Consider the following 20138-nt stretch of genomic DNA (forward strand, 5'->3'; position numbering starts at 1 on the left):
CAGCCACCCAAGGCCTCAGATCTATGTCCACAGGGTCCTAGCTGGTCCATCCAGCCCCCTCTCTGGTCTCTAGTGCTCCATTTGGTCAAATGGAACCTCAGTGCCCCTATCTGTAAAGTGGGAAAGATAGTAGCTACTACTTGGAGTTGGTGCTAGAACTAAGTGCAATGGATCCAGCTGGAGCCTGCACCCAGTGGTTGTTAGGCAACTTCTCACTGCCTTTATTGTGGCAGTTGGTGGATACTCCTATATCCTGTGGGCTTCCTTTTCCAGGTCCCTGTCCAAGGGGCCAAATGTTCAGGAAAGTGCTTTGAAGCTGCCCTGCAGTATGAGCAGAGTGACTGGATCATTCGGGCAGTTCCTGGCCTTGTGTATCAGACCAGCTCCCAGCCATCCAGACCCAGGCTCGCTGAGCACTGCCTCACCCTTCCCGGAGCTGCTACCAAGCAGAAATCACTGGGCCATGGCAGAGCTTCTGCTAGGGCCCAGGAGGGCGGGGCTGGGGCTATGGTGGGCTGGGGGTGAGTGCCCCACCTCCCACTCCCCCGCCCCCAGAGGCTGTGGTTGTGGTTAGTCAGCTCGTGGGGTTCCACCTTACTCAGTGCCCGGATGGGGCTCCCCCACATTTGAGGCAGATGGGCAACCAAGCGTGCCCACCTGCTGCAGATGCCTCTGGGGACCAGGGGCTAAAAGCCGGGAAGCCCACAGGCTCAGCGCCCCTTCCTTCATCTCTTCACTTCTTTGGCAGTCATGTTGTTGTGTGACTTTTGGCAGGTTGCTCAGCCTTCCTGACCTTGGTTTGCTGACCTGCAAAGTGAAACTAATTACAGTACCGGGTGTATGAGGATGGCCTGTAATGACACGTGTGAAGTTCCTGGTCGCGGGGGCCTTTGCTCAGTAAACATGACCTCTCTCCTCTGGTGGGCCCAGGACAGTTGCTGAATAAAAATGCCCAATGCCTACTTTTTTGGAGCTCCCAGGCCAGATGAGAGACAGATGAGAGCACAGAGGATGATTGAGTCCAGAGGCCTTGAAGGCCAAGTCTAGGAGGCAGAGCTTGAGTCTGCAGGAGGAGGAGTGGGTGGAAACTGAGCAGACTCAGGCTTGCCTTGCAGCCATGTGGAGGGTCTTTTAAAGGCCACCAAGTCCAACTTCCCATCCAGTGTCACTTAGCTTCTGCTGGCACACCTCCAGAAATGGGGAGTTCTCCTGGGCAGCCCATCAGCAGACAGCTCAGTCTTCATGGTGTTGATATTTTTGTGGAAATGCTTCCATTCCTTCATGCATTGTCAGTGAAAATATAAGAGATGCATCTCTTCCTGTGTCCTCGGGACTACCATTCTGTAATGAAAAAACCCACTCGGGCACCAAGTCAGGCTCAAAGCTCCCTGGGAGGATTTCACCTCAGGCCAGATTGAAACCTGAGGGTCCTACGCAGGAGCAAGTGGCCCAGAAAGGTGATGATGTGCACATCCTGTGTGACCTTGGACAAGCTGCTAAAACTCTCTGAGCCTTGCTGTCCTGATCTAACTGTAGAGCCAGAGTGGAAAGGACCATGGCACCCTAGACTGACAATTTAGTCTCCACTGCTGTTTGCTGAACCCTCACTGTGGGTCAGTCCTTCATCTCATGTGGCAAATGAGAGTAAAGACAGCCATAGACAGCCTTCCAGTTAGGTGTCTTTATTCTCAATGACTGACCAGGAAACTCAGAGACCTTTATTCTCAATTACTGACCAGGCTCAGAGAGGTTAAGCAACTGCCTAAAGTCACACAGCACAGCTATGGAGCCAGTAATTGAACCGAGGTCTTCTGATTTTCAGGCCAGGTCTCAGTGCAGAGATGTGGCTGTCCTCACTCCCTGCTTCTGCCCAGCACCCACATGGGCCCCTGAGAGTCTGGGAGTTCCCTCACGAGCCCCTTCTGGGCCCTGCCTTCTAGGGCAGAACCCTGGGTTCCCCAGTTCTTCCCCTGACTCCCCTCCCTTTCTCCCTAGGGCAAATGGACTCAGGCCACACCAGCTCTAGGCCACCTCCTGGAGGGGCAGGAGGATGTTATGAATGGCCCAGTGGTGGGGAGTAGCTGGTCTCTTGAGTGGGAATATCAAGGGCTTGCAGGACCAGGCCTGGGGCCAGGTTCTTTACTTATCCCCTGCCCATAGCCATCTGACGAGGGGAGGCCTATCTCTGCCCCCCTTTTACAGAAGAGAGATGAAGCCTGCAGGGACTCTATGACTTGCTGGTGGTCACACAGCAGACACAGTGGGCATGCCCATCCAAGTCCTCAGGCTCCAAGTCCTCATTCGTGGCCAGAGAATGAGGACTTACTCTGCGGGTTTTCTGTTCTTGATGGAGGCACAAGGCACCCCCTCATGGCAGCACTTAGCGTTACCAAGGCAGGGGAAGCAGGTGCTGGTGAGACCCCATATACCCCGCAGCCACCACACGAAAGGCTCCTGGTTCAGAGTCCCGTCAGTGACTACTGTGACTGAAGGGACTGGAGGCTCCCAGAGGCCCCAAGGGAGTTGGGGGGATGGACCAGGCAGGGCAGGATCAGAAGTGTCTCCACAACCTGATGCTGTGCTGAGCTGTGGACCATGAAACCGCAGCTTTCTGCAGCACCAGGCTGCTGGGAACCCGAGGTCTTGTGCCTTTGAGCCATGCAACTTTTTCCTCTGTTTTAACTGCTTAAAGGTTAAACCTGATGTACCCTTTTCTTGATGATCCAGTGTTTATCACTTTGGGCTTTGGTTATGGTCTGTGAGGTCACAAAGTGTCATCTCCAAGGTACTAAAAACAGCAACGAGCCAAGGCCAGGATGAGGTGGCTGCAAACACATGAGCTCCTAAAAGCACCACTCACAGGAGCCGGGTGCTGGCATAGAGGAGGAGAGGTGGCCATAAATTTCAGAGAATCTTCCCAGCCTCCTCTAATCCCATGCCAAGAAATATGACAGATTCTAGGCCCAGAGAGGGTGAGGACGTGGCCCGAGGTCACACAGTGGGCCGAAGGTCTTATTCTCCTCCTCCACTTTCTTCCACAGGCCTCACGTGGGGTGCTCCTGGGTTCACACAGCAACCTCTTCAGAGGTCTAGCCCAGTTCTTCTCAAGCTTTGGCAAGCATCAGAATCCCTGAGGACTGGCTAAATAGATTGCCAGGCCCCATCCCAGAGAGTCTGGTTCAGTAGGTCAGAGGTGGGGCCCGGAATCTGCACCTCCAGCAAACCCTCAGTGGCGCTGATGCTGCCAGTCCTCAGACCACCCTTTGAGACGCACTGCTCCAGGGAAGTACCGTGATGATGAGGGGCAGGCAGGCTCTGCGGTGGGGCTCGGGGCAGGCCCTGGCCCCTGCTGTCATAGTTGCCCAGCTTTCACCTATGAAGTGGAGATAACGCCAGCCCCTCCCTCACTGCATCGCAGAAATGAAGGAATGAAATGTAAAGGTTATGGTTAACAGGATTATTAATCTTTCTTACTGTGAGTAATTTCAAGTCGGGAAGGGTATAGGCTGGGCCAGGCAGCTTTCTAATGCAGCTGTCATATTGCAAGCCATTCAATCCTTAACTACACCCAAGAAGGTAGATATTATTATTATTATTATTATTATTAGCAGCAGCTCCATTTTGCAGATGACACATGAGGAAATGCAGCAAGGATGAGTAATTAACTTAAGCTTGCACAGCCAGTACAGGTGAGTCCAGGCAGTGGGGCTCCAGCGCCTACCCACTGAATACTCGATCATTTCGTCACTTGAAGGAGCATTAATGAGCCCAAAGAGCAAATTATCTAAACATTCTGTGTGTAGTTGTGTTCCCCCTCCCATCTTAGGTGGGGTGAGGAGGGGACTGAGAAGGGCAGAACGGAGGAAGAGAAGCAACCTGGGTTTAGGAGAGAGACCCACCCGCATTCCCATCCTCGCTGCGCCACTCACTGCTGTGTAACTTTGGGCTGGTGGCCTCACCTCTGAACCCAGTAGAGTGAGGGCAGCCATGGACAATGGACCACTAGGGCAGTTTGAAGGGTGAGTGCGTTTGTATTAAGCTGTTCCTCACCAGTCAATGGCACAGCTTGCGGTGCTCCCTGCCCCGGTCAGCATTTGAGGGTTTTGGCAGCAGCTATGGTCTTTGTGCTGGTTTGTTTCAGGGAGAGAGAAGTGGTTTTCAAGCTTTCCCTGGCTGTGGTCAGGGGATGTAGGGAGGAAACCTGCCTAGAATGTAGCTGTGGCTGCCCCTCAGGGACAGTATGGGTAGGCAGCATGAGGGTACAGCGTTCCTCAGGGGGGCAGGTGGAAGCCCTCAAGGGGCAAGTGAGGGGGCGAAGGCCTGGGCACACCCAGTTGTCACTGGGACAGGGTCTTCTTAGGCACAGGTCACAGAGCCCCCATCTTGTCCTAGTCATGTTGCCAGCTTCCTCATGACCATAGGATCTTCCTAGAGTCCTTCAAGTATTATCCATTGAGGGGAAGCTGAGGCTCTACAGGGGCAAGGAGGAGGCAAGAGGGGGCTGCCCTCTCTGCTACATTGGATTTTCACCCCCTTCCCCTATGACATTTTTCCACCTGCTGATGAGAGCCACATGCACTCGCCCCACAGACATAGTGCACCTGCAACAACAGCCCAGCCACAGCCACACACACATCCTTCATATGCACCCTCAGAGGCAACATGAGATGCACAGGGCCACGACTCACGAAAGCAACAAGCATGCATCGACCTCATACACGAATTTCACGTAGGCACACACACGATTCACAAACATTCAGACATTTCAGAGACGCCCTCAAAAGTCACACAGTCACCACACATGGTTACATACATCCTGCACAAATCCAACTCTCAATTAAACACATGTGCAAAACACAACACAAACATGTACATTGAGCATACACCGTGTACACACACTATATCCATACATCCTACACGAACACCACACTCACAAACATACCAGACACATTGCACACAAACACAGCTCACATCCAGTATGTACAATAAAGACTTAAAATACCAAGGCTCCCCAAACCCAGTGCACACACAGCAGAGAGCACAGATAAGCCTCTCGTCTGTGTGCATGGACGTGCACACACGCACACACGTGAGCATGCCTGTACACACAGGCACAGGTGCACATGGTCATGGGAACTAGGCTGTCATCTCGCGTGGCTTGTGACTCTGATTTTTCTCAGAAGCAGACCACACATAAGTCAAGTGGCTTCCACTAGGGCTGGTTTCCTGAAGTGAAAAAGGAAAGGAGGGGAAAGGACATAGTTTGGGCTAAATTAGTCAGACAGACTCCTTTGGCCTCCCAGGAATCTCATAATTAATCCAGCTGGGATGCTGTGAGCTTCAGGCCCTGGGAGCTGGGCTGGGGCTTCAGAATGCAGAGTACTGCATCCTGTCTCCTGAGGGATGGATGCCAGGCCTTGTCCCCAAGCCAATCCCTCTGAAGGTCTGGAAGCTTAAAAAGGGGTTATGTGGCCTCAGGGCTGCCACTCCCTGACCTCTTCTAGGCTGTGTGACTTCAGCCTGCTTGCTGGTTTTTCTCTCCTGTGGTGCTGGGGTCAGGAGACCCGGATTTGAGGCCTGAACCTGACTCCCAAAACCAAACTTGCCTCTGCTGGCATCAGTGACCACCTGGCCTCCTGGTGGATGGGCTGTGCTTCCTGCTGGCAGAGGCAGCACCTGCCTCCTGGGGAACATTCTGGGCAAGCCCTCTTGTACACGCCCCTGTTTCACAAGCCCCTTCTGGGTCTTCCAGGTTCCCTTCAGCTGTGGCCCCCTCCTCTCATCTCCTCCTAGCCAGACCCACAAGGGAGCTACCTGCAAGAAAGCCACTCTTGCTGCCTCCATTGCCTCCACTCTCCACCTGTCTCCAGCCCCTCATTCCAGCAAGCACATCCATGGCAGAACTGCTGTGGCCGGACCGAGGGACAGTGTCCACGTCCCTTGGCTATGTTCTTCACAGCTTCCCCTCCTCCTTTAATGGCCTTCTTCCCGTGGCACCTTGGAACACCCCCTCCTGGCCCTCCTCTCTCCTCTCTTGCATCTCCTTCAGGATCCTGCTGCGGGCCCTTCTCTTCCTCCTCCACCTGATTTCTAAAGGTGGAAGCTCCCGGCTCTCACTCCCTCTTCGGCCTGGCGTTTTCTCCCCTGGCCCTTTCCCCAGGGCTGCTTCCTGGCCCAGGATCTCTTTTCCCGCTCATCCACTCAGGCCCCACATGGCAGCAAGATGGAGTCTCTCCAAAACACAGGTTTGACCAGGTCACCCTCCTGCTTAAAAGCCTTTGATGGCCCAGGGCGTCTGAGTCCACGTCACACTTCCCGTTTTCCTGTCTCTTTCACCACACATTGGGGCCAGGTTCTATATCACGAACCCACATACATCCTCCACCATCTCCTCTCCCCTTTCTTGCTCTCCCTAGCTGTGCCCAGTTAGCTCTATCAAAGTCCCTCTCCCTCTCTCTTTCTCCTGCCTCTCCCTCCCCCTCTCTCTCTTCCTTCCCATCTATCTCTCCCTCTTTCACCTGATTTAGAGTTACCAGAGGTGAGGGCTGCAGAAACTACCTTGTGGGGTTTCCATGCCATTAAAAGGAAAAAAAAAGCCGAGCCTCCAGTTCAAAAAGCTCTTCATTTCCCTGCTACATAAGTCCAAGAGGCCAAGTGAGAGGGCATGGTGGCTGTGGGAAGAAACAGCCCTCCAGTGGGCTTCCCCAGGCGGGTGGCCAGAGTTCATTAGTTTCTCCGCCTTTTCATTCTTCCGTGTCCCACCTACCCTGCAAGTTCTGACCTTGACCTGGGCCCATAGCACACTCTGGCATCTGCCCCCTCAACTCTTCCATCCACATCCAGAGACCTGGCTGCTGGCCTTGGCTTCACCTGGCCTCACCTGCCCCGTCCTCTGCACCCTACTCCAGCTCCATTCGCTGGGCCCTACCTTGCAGCTGGTGACCTTGTCTGAGTCACCTTTTTCCATATAGTATTTGGCTGGGGCCCATAAGGCCACCAGGGTGGTGCAGGTGGTGGGGGCTTTGGAGTTGAGGTCCAGTTCTGCCACTGGCTTGCTGGGTGACCTTGGACTGAGTCTCAGTAGCTGCATCGAAAATAGAGAATAATCTTTGCCTTGCATGATGGAAGTGAGAGGTACATTGCAGATATTCCATCCACATTAGTTCCTTCTTTCTAGTGAAATAAAGACCCTCCCATGGGCTGCCCACAGGGGAAGCCTTGGAGTCAGTGCCTGGGGAGACCTGAGCCACCCCTTTAAAGGGTTCCTGGACCTTGGACCAGTCTTGTAGTTGTTCTTTGGGTAACCACCAATGAATAAGGAAGCTGAGGCTGGGTGCTGGTGGGCTGGGGACAACACGGAGATTTGGGGATGAGGGGTGATGGGAAAAGGATGGAGAAAGGTGAAGCAGCTGCCAGGGAAGGGACTCCGGGAAGGAGAACTGAGGCTTTAAAAAGTTCATGAAGTTTGGCTGCGTGGTGAGCCATGATGCGTTGTCTTCTCTGGCTCCCAGGAATTCTTCACCAACTCTCCATTTCTCATAGTTGCACTGGGGAGTTGGATGTGGTTTTAGTTTCTGTCAAAGTGAAGAGTGTGGGCTCAAGGTGAACACATGGGAAGAACAGAGACTGCCCTCATGGCCAGCTCCCACCAGCCCATGTCTGTAATAACAATTCTGAAAATATGCTGAGACGATATTGTGATGTTCCTCAAGCTGGAAGGATTTTGTACCCGGACACAATAGTGATGGGGAAGGTTATCTCCAGGCCACTGGCTCCAGGCCTTAATGGGTAAATATAACTACTAAAAGGAATACTTTTTAGAATAAAAACTCTCTAGGTTGAAACTGGGGGTCAGAGGGATTTGGAAGGACAAGACGGGCCAGGGCATAGGGATAGAAAGGGGCTGGGCAGCCAGGGGAGAGAGCTGGCAGGGCCAGCTGGCAGGAGCTCCTCAGCAAAGGCCCTTGGTCATCAGTAGTGCACACTTGCTAAGTCGAAAAGTGACGTCGCAAGGTCTGCGTTGCAGGTAGATTAGGGGTGGGAATAGAGGCAAGAGAGCAGCATGAAGCCTGGTGCCCTTGTTGTGGACCGAAGTCGGAGACCATCGTGGCAGGCCGCACAGGACTTGATGACTGATTGTGGAGGTGGTGGAGAGCTGTCATGAGAAGGACAGGGAAGAGAGGGCCATCACCCATTTCTGCACCAGGAGACCAGGCAGAGCAGTCAGGGTAATTTGTGGCTCACGGGGAAATGTCCACAGATCAGAGATGCTTCTCCTGTCTGTAGATGGGGCAGTCACAACTGCCTCCCAGGAGAGAGTGTGATAGGCCACAGGAGCCAGCATCCAGGCAAGAATGGTATACGATGATCGCCTATGCGTTATGTCATAGAAAATGTTAGTGTCTGGAGGCTGGACACATCCTGGACACACGCCAACTTGGGCCAGGCCTTTCCGGTGGGGACAGGACCCTGAGATCTGCTGTTTCACGATGCACAGGGGCCAGGTTCCATATCCTGGAGCCCACACTCTGCACTTGACAGAGCCAAAAACCACATCCAGCTCCCCAGTGCGCCAGTGAGAAATGGAGAGTTGTTGAAGAACTCTCTTTGTGCTTCAGTCATTCAGGGAAGTTTCCCACGTGGGACTCCTCCGTGGGGTGCCCCATCACTCCATGTATCCCCCTCCTCCCTCTCCCTGCTGGGCAGCGGAGCCCCGGGAGCCTGCGGGCTGGGGAGGGGCCCACGAGTCTCCTGGGTTGCCAGAGGGGCTCCTGGTTCACTCTGGAACAACTTGCCTGCCCCCTAGTGGATTGCTCAAAGAGTCTCTCAGGCCGCGGAAACCTGCGCTGGTCCTGATGGAGAGACTGGGGCCTCCAGCAAGAGGGACTTGTGCAGGGAAGGCCAGGTCAGAGCCTACATGGGAGGTGGCATGGCCAGCCCTTGAGAAGGAGCCGGGCTTGGGTGTCCCACAGCCCCGGGGAACGCAGCAGCCCATTTGGTTTGTCAGTCTCCTCTCAGAGCCTCGTGTCCTCACCACTCAATGAAGATGCAGGGTCCTGAGACGGTGCACACAGCAGGTGCTCAGTACATGTGTGGCCTTTCCCTCCTTCTCTGTGTCACTTCACCTCCCATTCTATGAGAGTGTAGACTCCACTCTGTCTTTTGAGCAAATCTTGATTGTCATGCACGTGGATTTCCTTAAAGGGAGGCTCACCTGCCACCACAGTAGCCTCCTTCACCTCCCCTGATCTGTCATATTTCTTCCCCACTGAACTTTACTGGCCAGACCCTGGGGTCACACAAACAGGGTTCAGATCCACCTTTGCCCTCCAGAAGCCCCCTTCTGCAGGGAGAGGCTGACACAAGACCATACCTAGAGTGTAGTCAGTGATGGACAGGGTGGCCCAGGGCTGAGGGGCCAGAGGAGGTCCCCCTCCCACAGCACGTTGGGATGAAAGGGAGTGTGTCAGGGAAGGATTCCTGGAGGCAGTGGCAGAGGAACAGAGATTTGGAGAGGAAGGAGTTAGCCAGAAGGAGTGGGAAACAGGGAGCTGGGAAAGAGCCTCCAGGCCGGTGCAGGGGTTGGAGGTGAGGGCATCCACTGCAGCATAAGGGCAGTGGTGAGCAGAGGCAGGGCTGCGAGGGGAGCCATGAGCTGACATGCTGCCTGTGCCTGGTGTGCCGGGATCCCAGCTAAGCATCAGATCAACCAAGCTCAGATGCAGAGAACAGCAGAGGAGAAACCAAAAGGCGACCTCAGGAGCTGGCATTGCGGGAGGGGAGATTATTTATTCGATGCCTTTGGGCTAGTTAGTTCCTTAATTTGTTCATTCATCAATTCAGCTTTCTCGTACATGCCTCTTCCTGGGCATTGGACTAAAGGAAGGAACTAGATAAGGTCCCTCCTGTCAAGTGAGGATCAGGCATGGCAGCTACTAATTCCATACCGAGGAGGACTGGGAAAGGGTTTCAGGAGAAGGTGGCATTTTAGGTGGACTTTGAAGGATGTAGAGGCATTCACCAGGTGTTGAAAAAGGGACAAGTCATCTAGGTAGAGAAAATAACAAGAGCAAAGATGCCGCATCATGAGGGGTTTGCAGAAGTGTAAGGAGTGTGTCATAGCCAAACAGTTGGTTGTGTAGGGGGCAGATGAGGTGGGGCCAGCATGTGTAGGGCCTTGAATGCCAGGCTAAAGTATTTGGGCTTTTCTAAGGAGTCCATCTCAAAGTGTGCCCACCTGCAGAACCAGGGACCAAGCAATTCCAGATCACCCAGCCCTGCAAGGACCTTCTGGAAGCCCATAGCTCCATCTGCCATAGTGAGAACCCAACCTCTAGAAATGCCAGAATGTCCCCTTGCTGGGAATGTACTCCAAGGGACAGGTGAATGGTCACAGGCTGCTGGGGGGAAGGCAGGGGGCCTTCATTGGCACCAGCTGGCATTGACTCATCATGAAAGCCATGACTTGGGGCTCCATCTCTGGGGTCCCATCTGAGCATGTGCATGGAAGCCCATGCGAATGCCGTGCTGGCTCCTCCTGAGGGCTTCCTCAGACTCACCTGGAAGGTGCTGTCCTCACCCCTGTTCTGCAGAAGAGGAAGTTGTGTGCTCACTGAGGCTGCCTCCCCTGGGAACCCTCCAGGGACCATTGCTGTTTTTCTGGGCTTTTGTAGCCCTGCATCACCACCTCAGATCAGGAGACAGATGGGCTGACACATACAAGGCACTTCATCCTCCAAGCCTCCAGTTCCTCATCTGTAAAGTGAGCAAATAACTCTCATTTTAGAGAGTGGGCATGGTTGAGACAATATGCATGAAGCTCCTGGCACACACCTGGCCCACAGCAGGTAGCAGGTAAGTGGGGAAATAAATGAGACATAAAGCCTCCCAGGAGGAAACGGCCAGCCCCGGACTGGGGCATGATGCAGGATCCAGGTGGGCATGGGCCTTCTTCCTTTGTCCCTAGCTGATGGAGGAAGGTTAGAGAGAGGTGAGAACCCTGGTGTGTGTTGTGGGGGGGAAATATGGTTTGGCTGTGTCCCCACCCAAATCTCATCTCGAATTGTAATCTGAATGACGTGTCAAGGGAGGGATCTGGTGGGAGGTGATTGGATCATGGGGGTGGTTTCCCCAGGCTGGTCTCATGGTAGTGAGTGAGTTCTCATGAGATCTGGTTGTTTTGTAAGTGTCGGGCGCTTCCCCCTTCTCTCTCTCTCTCTCTCTCTCTCTCTCAACACCATATAAGAGTTGCCTTGCTTCCCTTTGCCTTCTGCCATGATTGTAAGTTTCCTGAGGCCTCCGCAACCATGCAGAACTGTGAATCAATTAAACCTCTTTTGTTTATGAATTACCCAGTCTCAGGTAGTATCTTTATAGCAGTGTGAAAACAGACCAATGTAGGGAGTCTAGTTACATGCAGTATGTCAGCTCTGGAGCCAGAGTTTCCTCCTAGAGTCCTTAGGAGCCTCTAAGAACAGAGCTGACTCAGCCCTTCTCAGCAAGGGCAGTTGAGGGAGTGAGCAGAGGGGCAAGAGCTGCTCCCACCATACAGCCTTCCAGAGGGCCCAAGAGCATGAAGACCCATGGCTGAATCTAGACACACCCTGACAAACAGCACACATGCACACAACAGGTACTTGGACACACATCACACATATGGATACACATGGTATGCACACAGATACATGTGTCACTGCCCCAGATTTTGGGACAGGAAGGGATGTACCACTGCCCCAGATTTTGGTGCTCAGACACGCTCAGACACATAACATACACAGTAAAGCCACATACATGTAGACACACCAAGGCCATAAATGCATGTACACAGAAACACACGGACACATAAATGCACATATACACAGACAACATGCACAGATGCCCACAGATGAGCACATACATGCAGACACAGACACAATGACAACCCACACATGTCCACAGGCATAGGCACAGGCTCACTGTCACTTGCCTGCAAAGGTCCCTTTCAGCTCTGGTGTCCACTTAAATATACAAGGTCACACAGATCTGTTCACCCACCCCACCCCCCAAGTCACATCTGCACCACACTTCTTAGCTGAGCGTGTGTTCACACGCACTGCCTCCTTGATCTAACAGCAGCCTCATAAGGCAGTTAGGGCAGGGGCCTGGACCCTCCTGTGCAGCGAGGAACAGAAGGCCTAGAGGCGCCAACAGACCAGCCTGGGCCACTTGGCTCCTGGCGGGTGTCTTAGTCAGCTTGGGCTGCTGTAACTGAATAACACAGATTGGAGGGCTTCAACAATAGATATTTGCTTCTCACCGTTTTGGAGCTTGGAAGTCCCAGATCAAGGTGCCGTCAGGGCCTGGCACTGGTGAGGCCTCTCTTACAGGTTCGCAGATGGCCCCTTGTTGCTGTGCTCTCCCTTGGTGGAAAGAGCTAGCTCACTGGCCTCTTCTCACAAGGGCACTAATCCCATTTGTGAGGGCTCCAGCCTTATAATCTGATCACCTCTCAAAGGTCCCACCTCCTAAGCCATCACATTGGGACTGGGGTTTCGACATAGGAATGTGGGCGGAGAACACAGGCCTTCAGTCCACAGTAGGAAAGGGGAGTCCTGGTTGAGCTCCAGTCTCCTCCTGCCCAGCTGTGGTGCCAGGGCACAAACCCATGCATATGCTCATGGATGCTCACGGCAGACACACAGCTATGCACCCAGAGGGGCTTCAGGAGTCACCTAGACCATGTACTCATTTTACAGATGAAGAAACTAGAGCCCTGAGAGAAAATCCATAGCCCTAAAGGGGGCCACCCAGAGGGCCTGTGGAGAAACCAGGGCCACATCTCTGTCCCTTTCCCCCACCCCACCCCACAGCTGTCCCACACACACAGACACAATCACACACAAGCCATGGGCACATTCCACAGATACACGCGTGCAGATCCTCCCTGTTCAACACTCCTGCAGGCTCGCAGGGTCAGATGTGGTGTTTCCACAGTCCTCTCATTTAACTCTCATGATGATATGGGATGTAAGAGTAACTGGCTCCGTTTTGCATTTCAGGAAACTGAGGCATAGAAAGGTTAGGCCCAAAGTTGCACAAGTAGGGACAGGCAGTGGCATCTCCCAAAGCCAATTCTACAATCACCATCACATCCTTACATACCTCTTGTCTCTTACACACACACGCACACACACACACACACACACACAGGGGCACCCTGGCGTCTGTGGGCACAGCAGCCCTCAGGCAGAACATTTTCCCAACAACCACCACTTCAAAGTTTTCGTACCAGCTCCCCGCTCCTAAGGGGTCTTTTGAGGAAAGGATAAGTTTGTTTGGGGCTTAACCTGCCCACTTGGCCCCGCCCCTCTCCCCTCAGTTGGGGAAATGAATTCCACGTGTGCCTGATCTTGCCTGCTCTGAAATCACCCGCGAGGATTTGGTGAGCACTCTTTGATGTTGGAAGCCAATTTAATAAGTTGGCTGTTGGGTTTTTTTTTTTTCTTTTTTTTTTTTCTGTAAGACAGAACTCTCATCTCAGTTTCCTGAAAACTGAGGAATTCTCACCTTCCCTCCTCCATCTTGAGTTTCTGAGTTCCTGTGTCCCAAGGCCTGGACTCCTGACACAGTGCTCACAGACACCCGAAGGTTTAGGCTGCCTTGGGGAGGAGAGGCAGGGAAGGAGGCAACGTGCTGGTTTGGGGAGGAGAGGCAGGGAAGGAGGCAGCGCACTTTGAGCATTTCCTATGGGCCAGGCCCTGTGTTAGAAGCTCTGAATCCTCTCAATGCCCCTTTCAGAGATGACAAAACAGATATGTTGCAAGTGGGAGGCCAGCTGAGCCTGGAGCCCTCGTCTGCCTGGCTTCTCTTCCTCGTCCTAGCCTTGCTTCTGCCCAAAGCAGCTGTGCCACCTGGGGCAAATGACCTCCTCCCCCTGGGCCTTGGGCCCTGCAGCCAGCAGTGGGCACAGGGCTCCTCAGGGTCGGCTCTCATGGTAATGAGCTCTCTGCATCAAAACCATTTGCCGAGGACAAAGCACCATGTGAAAGGAGGGGAGGGTTTCTATTTTTATTGTTTTGGTGTTGAGAGGCAAGTTCAGCTCTAGGATTCTTATGGGAATGCATCAATTACTATCACTCTGGGCACTTAGTAACAAGCACCAGGTTGGCCACCAGGGAGCTCAGCAAGGAAGTCTTTGAAGGAAGTGGAGCAGGGAGGGGGAAGGGGTATCCACAAGAGGCTCCGCGCTGGTGCAGGCACCTGCCCCACACCGTTCTACTCAGGGCCTGGCCAAGCTCTTCCCGGAGCTCTGGGTCCCTGCCGTGTCCTGATGGGCTTTGGCAAAGTCTGCCCTGATTTCTTGGTTTATGAAGTCTTACTAAGGGTCTCTGGAGAAAAAGGAGAAACAAGAATCACAAAGCGACCACTGAAAGCCACAGTCGTAGCTTTTACAGCCCCACCCTGCTGACGGGGAGCTCCTTTCACTTCCTTCGTGCTCCTGGGCCGCGAGCAGCCCGGCCATGGGCACACGCCACCTGCCCTGCCTTGAACTTTAGGGATCTGAGGCTGGGAAAGGTGAAGTGTCTTTTCCAAGGCCATGCCGTTGCTGATTCATCTGCAGGTGTGGCTTCAAGTACAGTGGCCTCCTAGGAGATGGGGAACTACCCCAGCTTCCACCCCTACTCAGGACATGACCTTGGGCGGCTGGGAGGCCATGGTGAGGGCTTCTGTGACTCCCAGGTAATATACAGATCCAGGGTAGGGACCATGGACTCCTACACACTTTCCTTTTCTCACTTGCTGCCCACAGGTGCCAGGAACAGGGTGGAGCTGGGTCACTGCCGTTACCCAGAGAAGAAAGCCAGGCTCTGAGGGACAGCCAGGGTCTCGCAGCAACCTGGCTGGCAGGGGAGGTTTTTGCGCCTGTTTTGCGGGGGCAGAGGAGAGAGGGGGCCACTGTGTGGAGTGTCTCTGTGATGTCTCACGAAAAGTGCTTCTGTGGGCACTGCTGCTTGAGTTTGTGGCTACCCCAAGACATGGTTGCGGGGGGTATGGGGGGGCCCTTTGTTCCCTCCCCCGATCTCCACCAGCCTCCTCAAAATCCCCAGATAGAAAGATAAATCACTTCTGCAGATATGGGAAATACATAAAGTGGGGATAAAAACATTTTTAGGAAACTTGGCTTCAAAAAAATAAAAATCAAATTATAACATACAGTGCAAGCAAAAATTTGGTAACTGCTTTGTAAATGCGGCTCCAAGACAAGTTCTTATCCAGCCTGTCCTGTCCTGAGCCCCTCCTGCAGAGATTCTGTGTGTGTGTGTGTGTGTGTGTGTGTGTGTGTGTGTGTGTGTCTGTCTGTCTGTCTGTCTGTCTGTGATCTCATCTCCAGACAAGTAGAGGGGCACGTGGTGTTCCACACCCATGACGAGTGTGTGCACCTGGTGAGCTTATGTGCAGGACTGGGGTGCGGAGACCCTCCCCTGCCTGCCTGGAGGTCTGGGAGGCTCCCACGTCAGGTGGTGCCCACTGCAACTAACCTCTGCTCTCCTCTCTCCCTCTAAGCCAAGAAGATGAAAACATTTCTGGCACTTTCTAAAGTTTCTGTCCAGAAAAGCCATCAGCTGAAGGGGCGCAGGATGACAAATGGCTGCCGGATCTGCAGGTTCCGGGTTCTGAGACAGGGTGGGCAGGGTGAGGGCTGGGAGCTGGGATTTTCAGTAGTGCCTGAAGGGACAGACTGGGGCAGGGGACTTGGTGGAAGGCGGCTGGTGCATAGGAGACTCAAGAGGTCACATTCCCTGGGTGCTGAGCACCGATGGACGGATGTGCCGATGTCTTGGCGGTCCGGGATCTCCTGAGTCTTACATGGGCAGGGCAAGCTCCGTCAACTGGCAAACAAGAAGTGTCAGTAGTTACAAGTGCTGTGGGGGCCACCACGCTGGGAAATGAGCTGCAGGGTGACAGCAGGGCCCATCTAGAGTGTGTGACCTGTGCCACCTCCTGACTGAAGCAGCATTTGACTGAGACCAGGATGACAGAAAGGGCATTCCAGGTAGAGGAACAGCAAGAGCAAGCGGCCGGAGGTAGGAAGAACATGGTGTGCTTTAGGGACAGCGAGGAGGCCTGTGAGCAGGTGGTGAGCAGCAGAAGGTGGCAGGAGAGGCCGGGCCAAGGGGCAGGCACTGGCTGGACAGCGCAGGGCCTTGGAGGCTGCACGAAAGGCTGCTTAGTCTTAGGGCAATGGGACAGCCCGGAAGGGTTAGAAGCAGCAACCTGTCCTATCCATCATGTCTGTCACTTTTGTTATTGTTGTTGTTTTGAGACAGAGTCTTGCTCTGTCACCCAGGCTGCAGTGCAGTGGCACGATCTCCGCTCACTGCAACCTCCGCCTCCTGGGTTCAAGCGATTCTCATGCCTCAGCCTCCCAAGTAGCTGAAATTACAGACACCTGCCGCACACCTGGCTAATTTTTGTGTTTTTAGTAAAGATGGGATTTCTCCGTGTTGGCCAGGCTGGTCTCCAACTCCTGACCTCAAGTGACCTGCCCACCCCGGCCTCCCAAAGTGCTGGGATTACAGGCGTGAGCCACCACGCCCGGCCCATGTTTGTATTTTTAAAAGATAATTCTGGCTGCCGGGTAGAGATGGATGGAAGGGAACTGGCTAGGAGCCCTGCGGCGGGCCACCTGAGAGACGTGGTGGCTTGGGCCAGGGTGGGTGCAGGGAGGTGGAGAAGCCAGCCGGAGGAGGGATGTGTGATGGAGTGGGGGCTGCTAGGCACACACACATCCTGTGTGCAGGATCTGAGCCTGAGGCCTGGGAGGGGGCAAGGACTCCCACCTGCCTCCCCAGAGGCTCTGGAGGCTCCAGACTTGCTAATGGATAGGGGTAGGTGCGGAGACGCCAGGAGCTTGGCATGGTGTTGGGCTGTCTGACTGGGGATGCTGGAGGACCAGGTTTCAAGGGTTGCTGGAGCTTTGCAATCCGTGGTGCTGTGAAGCCCCAGAAGGAACCATTGAGTGAGCAGCCAGAGCTACGGGAGCCTGGTGCCCAGTGGGGTGGGAGCCCGAGACGTGTACTGGGTGTCGTTAGTGTCTGGGTAGACAGGGAGGCCCCAAGAAGGGGAGGATGAGCTGGTGCCAGAGGAGGAGGCCAGGGAAGAAAGAGCTTTTAGGAAAAGGAGGGCAGCAGGGCGAACGCTGCTGAGCAGTCAGGTTGAGAACTGAAACTGCCCCCGGATCTGGTGACATGGACGGAGGTCACCGGAGACCTTCCGAAGAGCCCTCTGGCCCGAGGGGGTGGAAGTCAGACTGCGGGGGCCGAGGAGGGAGTGGGAGGTGAGGAAGTGAAGTCAGCGGCAGCCGCCAGCTCCTGAGAAGTTGAGCTCTGAGTGGAGATGAGCAGTGGGGTGGGCGCTGGTAGGGAGGCAAGGCCAGAGGAGGGCTCACTCCTCAGGACACAGGGAGGAGAACAGGAGGAGAGGCCCTCCACGTAAGGGAAGGGAGAAGAGGGCCACGGGGGAGCTGAGGACTGAGTCCAGCCACAGAGCCCAACGGGCCCAGACAGGAGCAAGATCTGCCACACAACAGTCAGGGCCAGGCCTGAGCCCTGCGTTCACATCACGCTGCCTGTCCCGCAGGCCATCCATCACTCTGCAAAGGAGAAGGGCCCCAGCCGTGTGAAGGCCTTTCTACCAGTGCAAGCTGGCTCTGCCTCTAAGAGGCTGGCGTGTCCCTGTGAAAAGGGTGTCCCTGTGTGTCTGCACCCCGGGAGGCTCGCCATCCTATGCTGGTTTCTGCCCACGCACTCACTCTCTTTCCCTCTCCCCCTTGCTGGGAGCCCCTCTGGACCCTGATGTGTGTGGCAAGGGGGAACTCAGATGAACGGCAGCAACTCCTGCCCTGAGGCACCGCTGTGCCCCAGGCTCCCTGGGGTCCCAAGGCCTTGGCCCCCCAACAGCAGGAGGGGAAAGGCTGCTGTGACCTGCCCTGTTCACATCAGTCCCGCCTGGTTGGAGGATGCTCAGCCTGGGCTGCTCCAACTGTGGTCCCTTCCCAGGAAGCCCATATTGCTTGTCTTTGAGGGATGGGAAGAGGTGGCCTTGGGTGGGGGGCTATCTTGGAAGAACTGAGCAGAGCCCGTTGGAAGTTTTGATGAAGGGTGCATTCTGGGCAGGGAGACAGCAAGCCTGAGCTCTGGCCCAGGCACTGATGTGGTGGCAATGTAGCACGCCAGGTGGGTCCCTGCCCTTCCCCACGCTCAGCCTCCCTACCAGTGCAATCAGCCAGTCAGCCTCTATGGTCTCTGGGACCTTCTTGGCAATTGGCGACACCTGTGCCCCTTGCCCTCCGACCCTCTGCAGACTGCCTGCCCACTGATGGGGTGGAAGTGGGTAGGGAAGAGCACTTTGAAGTAAAATGTTATTAACTTTTCTCCCTTCCCCAACCCCATCTATATTGCCCTCAGTGAGGGACATGGGTTCTAGGGGACAGAGGACAGAGGGAAGAGACAAACCACCAAACAGGCACAAGCTCTCTGAGAATCTGCTTCACATGGCCCCCAAAATGTGGGTGCTCTTTTTATCTAAAAATTTGTCATCTGCAGAAATAGTCTGAATAGCAATAAATGCATGATAATGTTTAGCAAATCATGACCTGTAGTCAGCTCAAAATGGAAAGATTCTGCATTCTCTGCAATAGAGATAGGCTTTGCAAATCCTGGAGTGTCCACATGTTGCAATCCTGGAGTGTCCACATGTTGCAATCCAGATGCAGTCACTGCGGGTATGTTTATGGTTTTTGTTTTTTGTTTTTTGTTTTTTGAGTCAGAGTTTTGTTCTTGTCACCCAGGCTGGAGTGCAATGGCGCAGTCTCCTCTCACTGCAACCTTGGCCTTCTGGGTTCAAGCGATTCTCCTGCCTCAGCCTCCTGAGTAGCTGGGACTATAGGCACCCGCCACCATGCCCAGCTACTTTTTGTATTTTTAGTAGAGACGGGGTTTCACCATGTTGGCCAGGTTGGTCTCGAACTCCTGACCTCAGGTGATCCACCTGCCTCGACCTCCCAAAGTGCTGGGATTACAGGCGTGAGCCACCGTGCCTGGCCTACTGTGGGTATGTTTATAAAGTACTCTGAACAATACAGGAAGGTGCTCAGGACAGTGAGCTGAGGGCACAGGTCAGGATGAGAAGTGATCTGGGCCACATGACCTCACGCACGCCAAGCACATGAGAAACAGGTGTGTAGGAGCCCTGCTGAAGTGCTAACAGCAGCTACCTCCCAGGAGTAGAAAGACGGGGATTATTGAATATTCGAAGAATTCTGTATTTTCCAAGTTTTCCACACTAGGCGGGAAATACTTTTATAATCAGAAAAACGTCCAAGCTTTTTGGGAAATCTCTCTTACTCACCCAGGTCTGATGTCCACAGGTGCGGGGAGGGGCCTGGGGAAGCCTGCCTTCCCCCCACCCAGTAGGTCTCTTCGATGCCCTTCCCCTGGAAGAGAGAGGGAAGGGGATGGGAAGGTCCCTCCCCAAGCAAACCTCCTCAAGCTGAAGAGCAAGGACAAAATGTGTGATTCAACAGCTCCATGGAGAGCAGCCTAGAGCCTGGAGATTGAAATCCTGGCTCTGCTGCCTCCTAGCTGTGTGACTTTGGCCAACTTACTTTACTTCTCTGTGCCTCCATTGCCTCAGTACCTCACAAAGTTGTAAAGACTAAATAAGTTAATATTTCTCTGTTAAAGAAATAACCCAGCTGGGTGCATGGTGGCTCACACCTATAGTCTTAGCCTTTTGGGAAGCTGAGGCAGGTGGATCACTTGAGGTCAGGAGTTCAAGACCAGCCTGGCCAACATGAAGAAACTCCATCTCTACTAAAAAATACAAAAATTAGCTAGGCACAGTGGCACATGCCTGTAATCACAGCTATTCGGGAGGCCGAGGCATGAGAATCACTTGAACCTGGGAGGTGGAGGTTGCAGTGAGCCAAGATCGCGCCACTGCTCTCCAGCCTGGGAAAGAAAGAAAGAAGAGAGAGAGAGAGAGAAAAGAATCATGAGCCCTGTGATCAGCGGATCTAGAGTGCTAAGATCCCACCATCTGTGATTCTCTCCAGCCTTCACAATGGAAGGACCTGGTATGGTGGCCTCCCCTGGGGT

The 20138-nt window shown here is 54.0% G+C and overlaps 1 pseudogene across 1 annotated transcript in view, besides 7 other annotated features; it reads right to left on the reverse strand.

Moving 5' to 3' along the window:
• Positions 410–649: a silencer, noted in NCBI's record as "silent region_3787". NCBI's record gives its function as "represses an Ori minimal core promoter by ATAC-STARR-seq in GM12878 lymphoblastoid cells {active_cell/tissue: GM12878}" and the evidence as "EXISTENCE:reporter gene assay evidence [ECO:0000049][PMID:35858748]".
• Positions 1310–1359: an enhancer, noted in NCBI's record as "active region_5297". NCBI's record gives its function as "activates an Ori minimal core promoter by ATAC-STARR-seq in GM12878 lymphoblastoid cells {active_cell/tissue: GM12878}" and the evidence as "EXISTENCE:reporter gene assay evidence [ECO:0000049][PMID:35858748]".
• Positions 2706–2785: an enhancer, noted in NCBI's record as "active region_5298". NCBI's record gives its function as "activates an Ori minimal core promoter by ATAC-STARR-seq in GM12878 lymphoblastoid cells {active_cell/tissue: GM12878}" and the evidence as "EXISTENCE:reporter gene assay evidence [ECO:0000049][PMID:35858748]".
• Positions 7952–20138, reverse strand: part of GUCY2EP (guanylate cyclase 2E, pseudogene) — a 41624-nt pseudogene continuing 29437 nt past the window's right edge. Inside the window, exons 17-20 of the transcript NR_024042.2 lie at positions 19390–19474; positions 16821–17013; positions 10560–10586; positions 7952–8155 (exon numbers count right to left, since the gene is read on the reverse strand). The product of NR_024042.2 is annotated as a guanylate cyclase 2E, pseudogene (transcript). The remainder of the gene's footprint in view (positions 8156–10559; positions 10587–16820; positions 17014–19389; positions 19475–20138) is intronic.
• Positions 14011–14305: an enhancer, noted in NCBI's record as "tiled region #9026; K562 Activating non-DNase unmatched - State 7:EnhWF". NCBI's record gives its function as "activates a minimal TATA promoter and a strong SV40 promoter by Sharpr-MPRA in K562 cells {active_cell/tissue: K562}" and the evidence as "EXISTENCE:reporter gene assay evidence [ECO:0000049][PMID:27701403]".
• Positions 14011–15007: a biological region, named in NCBI's record as "Sharpr-MPRA regulatory region 9026".
• Positions 14225–15007: an enhancer, noted in NCBI's record as "H3K4me1 hESC enhancer chr11:76397483-76398265 (GRCh37/hg19 assembly coordinates)". NCBI's record gives its function as "activates a minimal SCP1, AML or CMV promoter by ChIP-STARR-seq in naive H9 embryonic stem cells {active_cell/tissue: H9 hESC(naive)}" and the evidence as "EXISTENCE:reporter gene assay evidence [ECO:0000049][PMID:30033119]".
• Positions 16440–17392: an enhancer, noted in NCBI's record as "H3K4me1 hESC enhancer chr11:76399698-76400650 (GRCh37/hg19 assembly coordinates)". NCBI's record gives its function as "activates a minimal SCP1, AML or CMV promoter by ChIP-STARR-seq in primed H9 embryonic stem cells {active_cell/tissue: H9 hESC(primed)}" and the evidence as "EXISTENCE:reporter gene assay evidence [ECO:0000049][PMID:30033119]".

The sequence above is a fragment of the Homo sapiens genome, chromosome 11 (assembly GCF_000001405.40).
Source record: "Homo sapiens chromosome 11, GRCh38.p14 Primary Assembly".
NCBI classification, from domain to species: domain Eukaryota; kingdom Metazoa; phylum Chordata; class Mammalia; order Primates; family Hominidae; genus Homo; species Homo sapiens.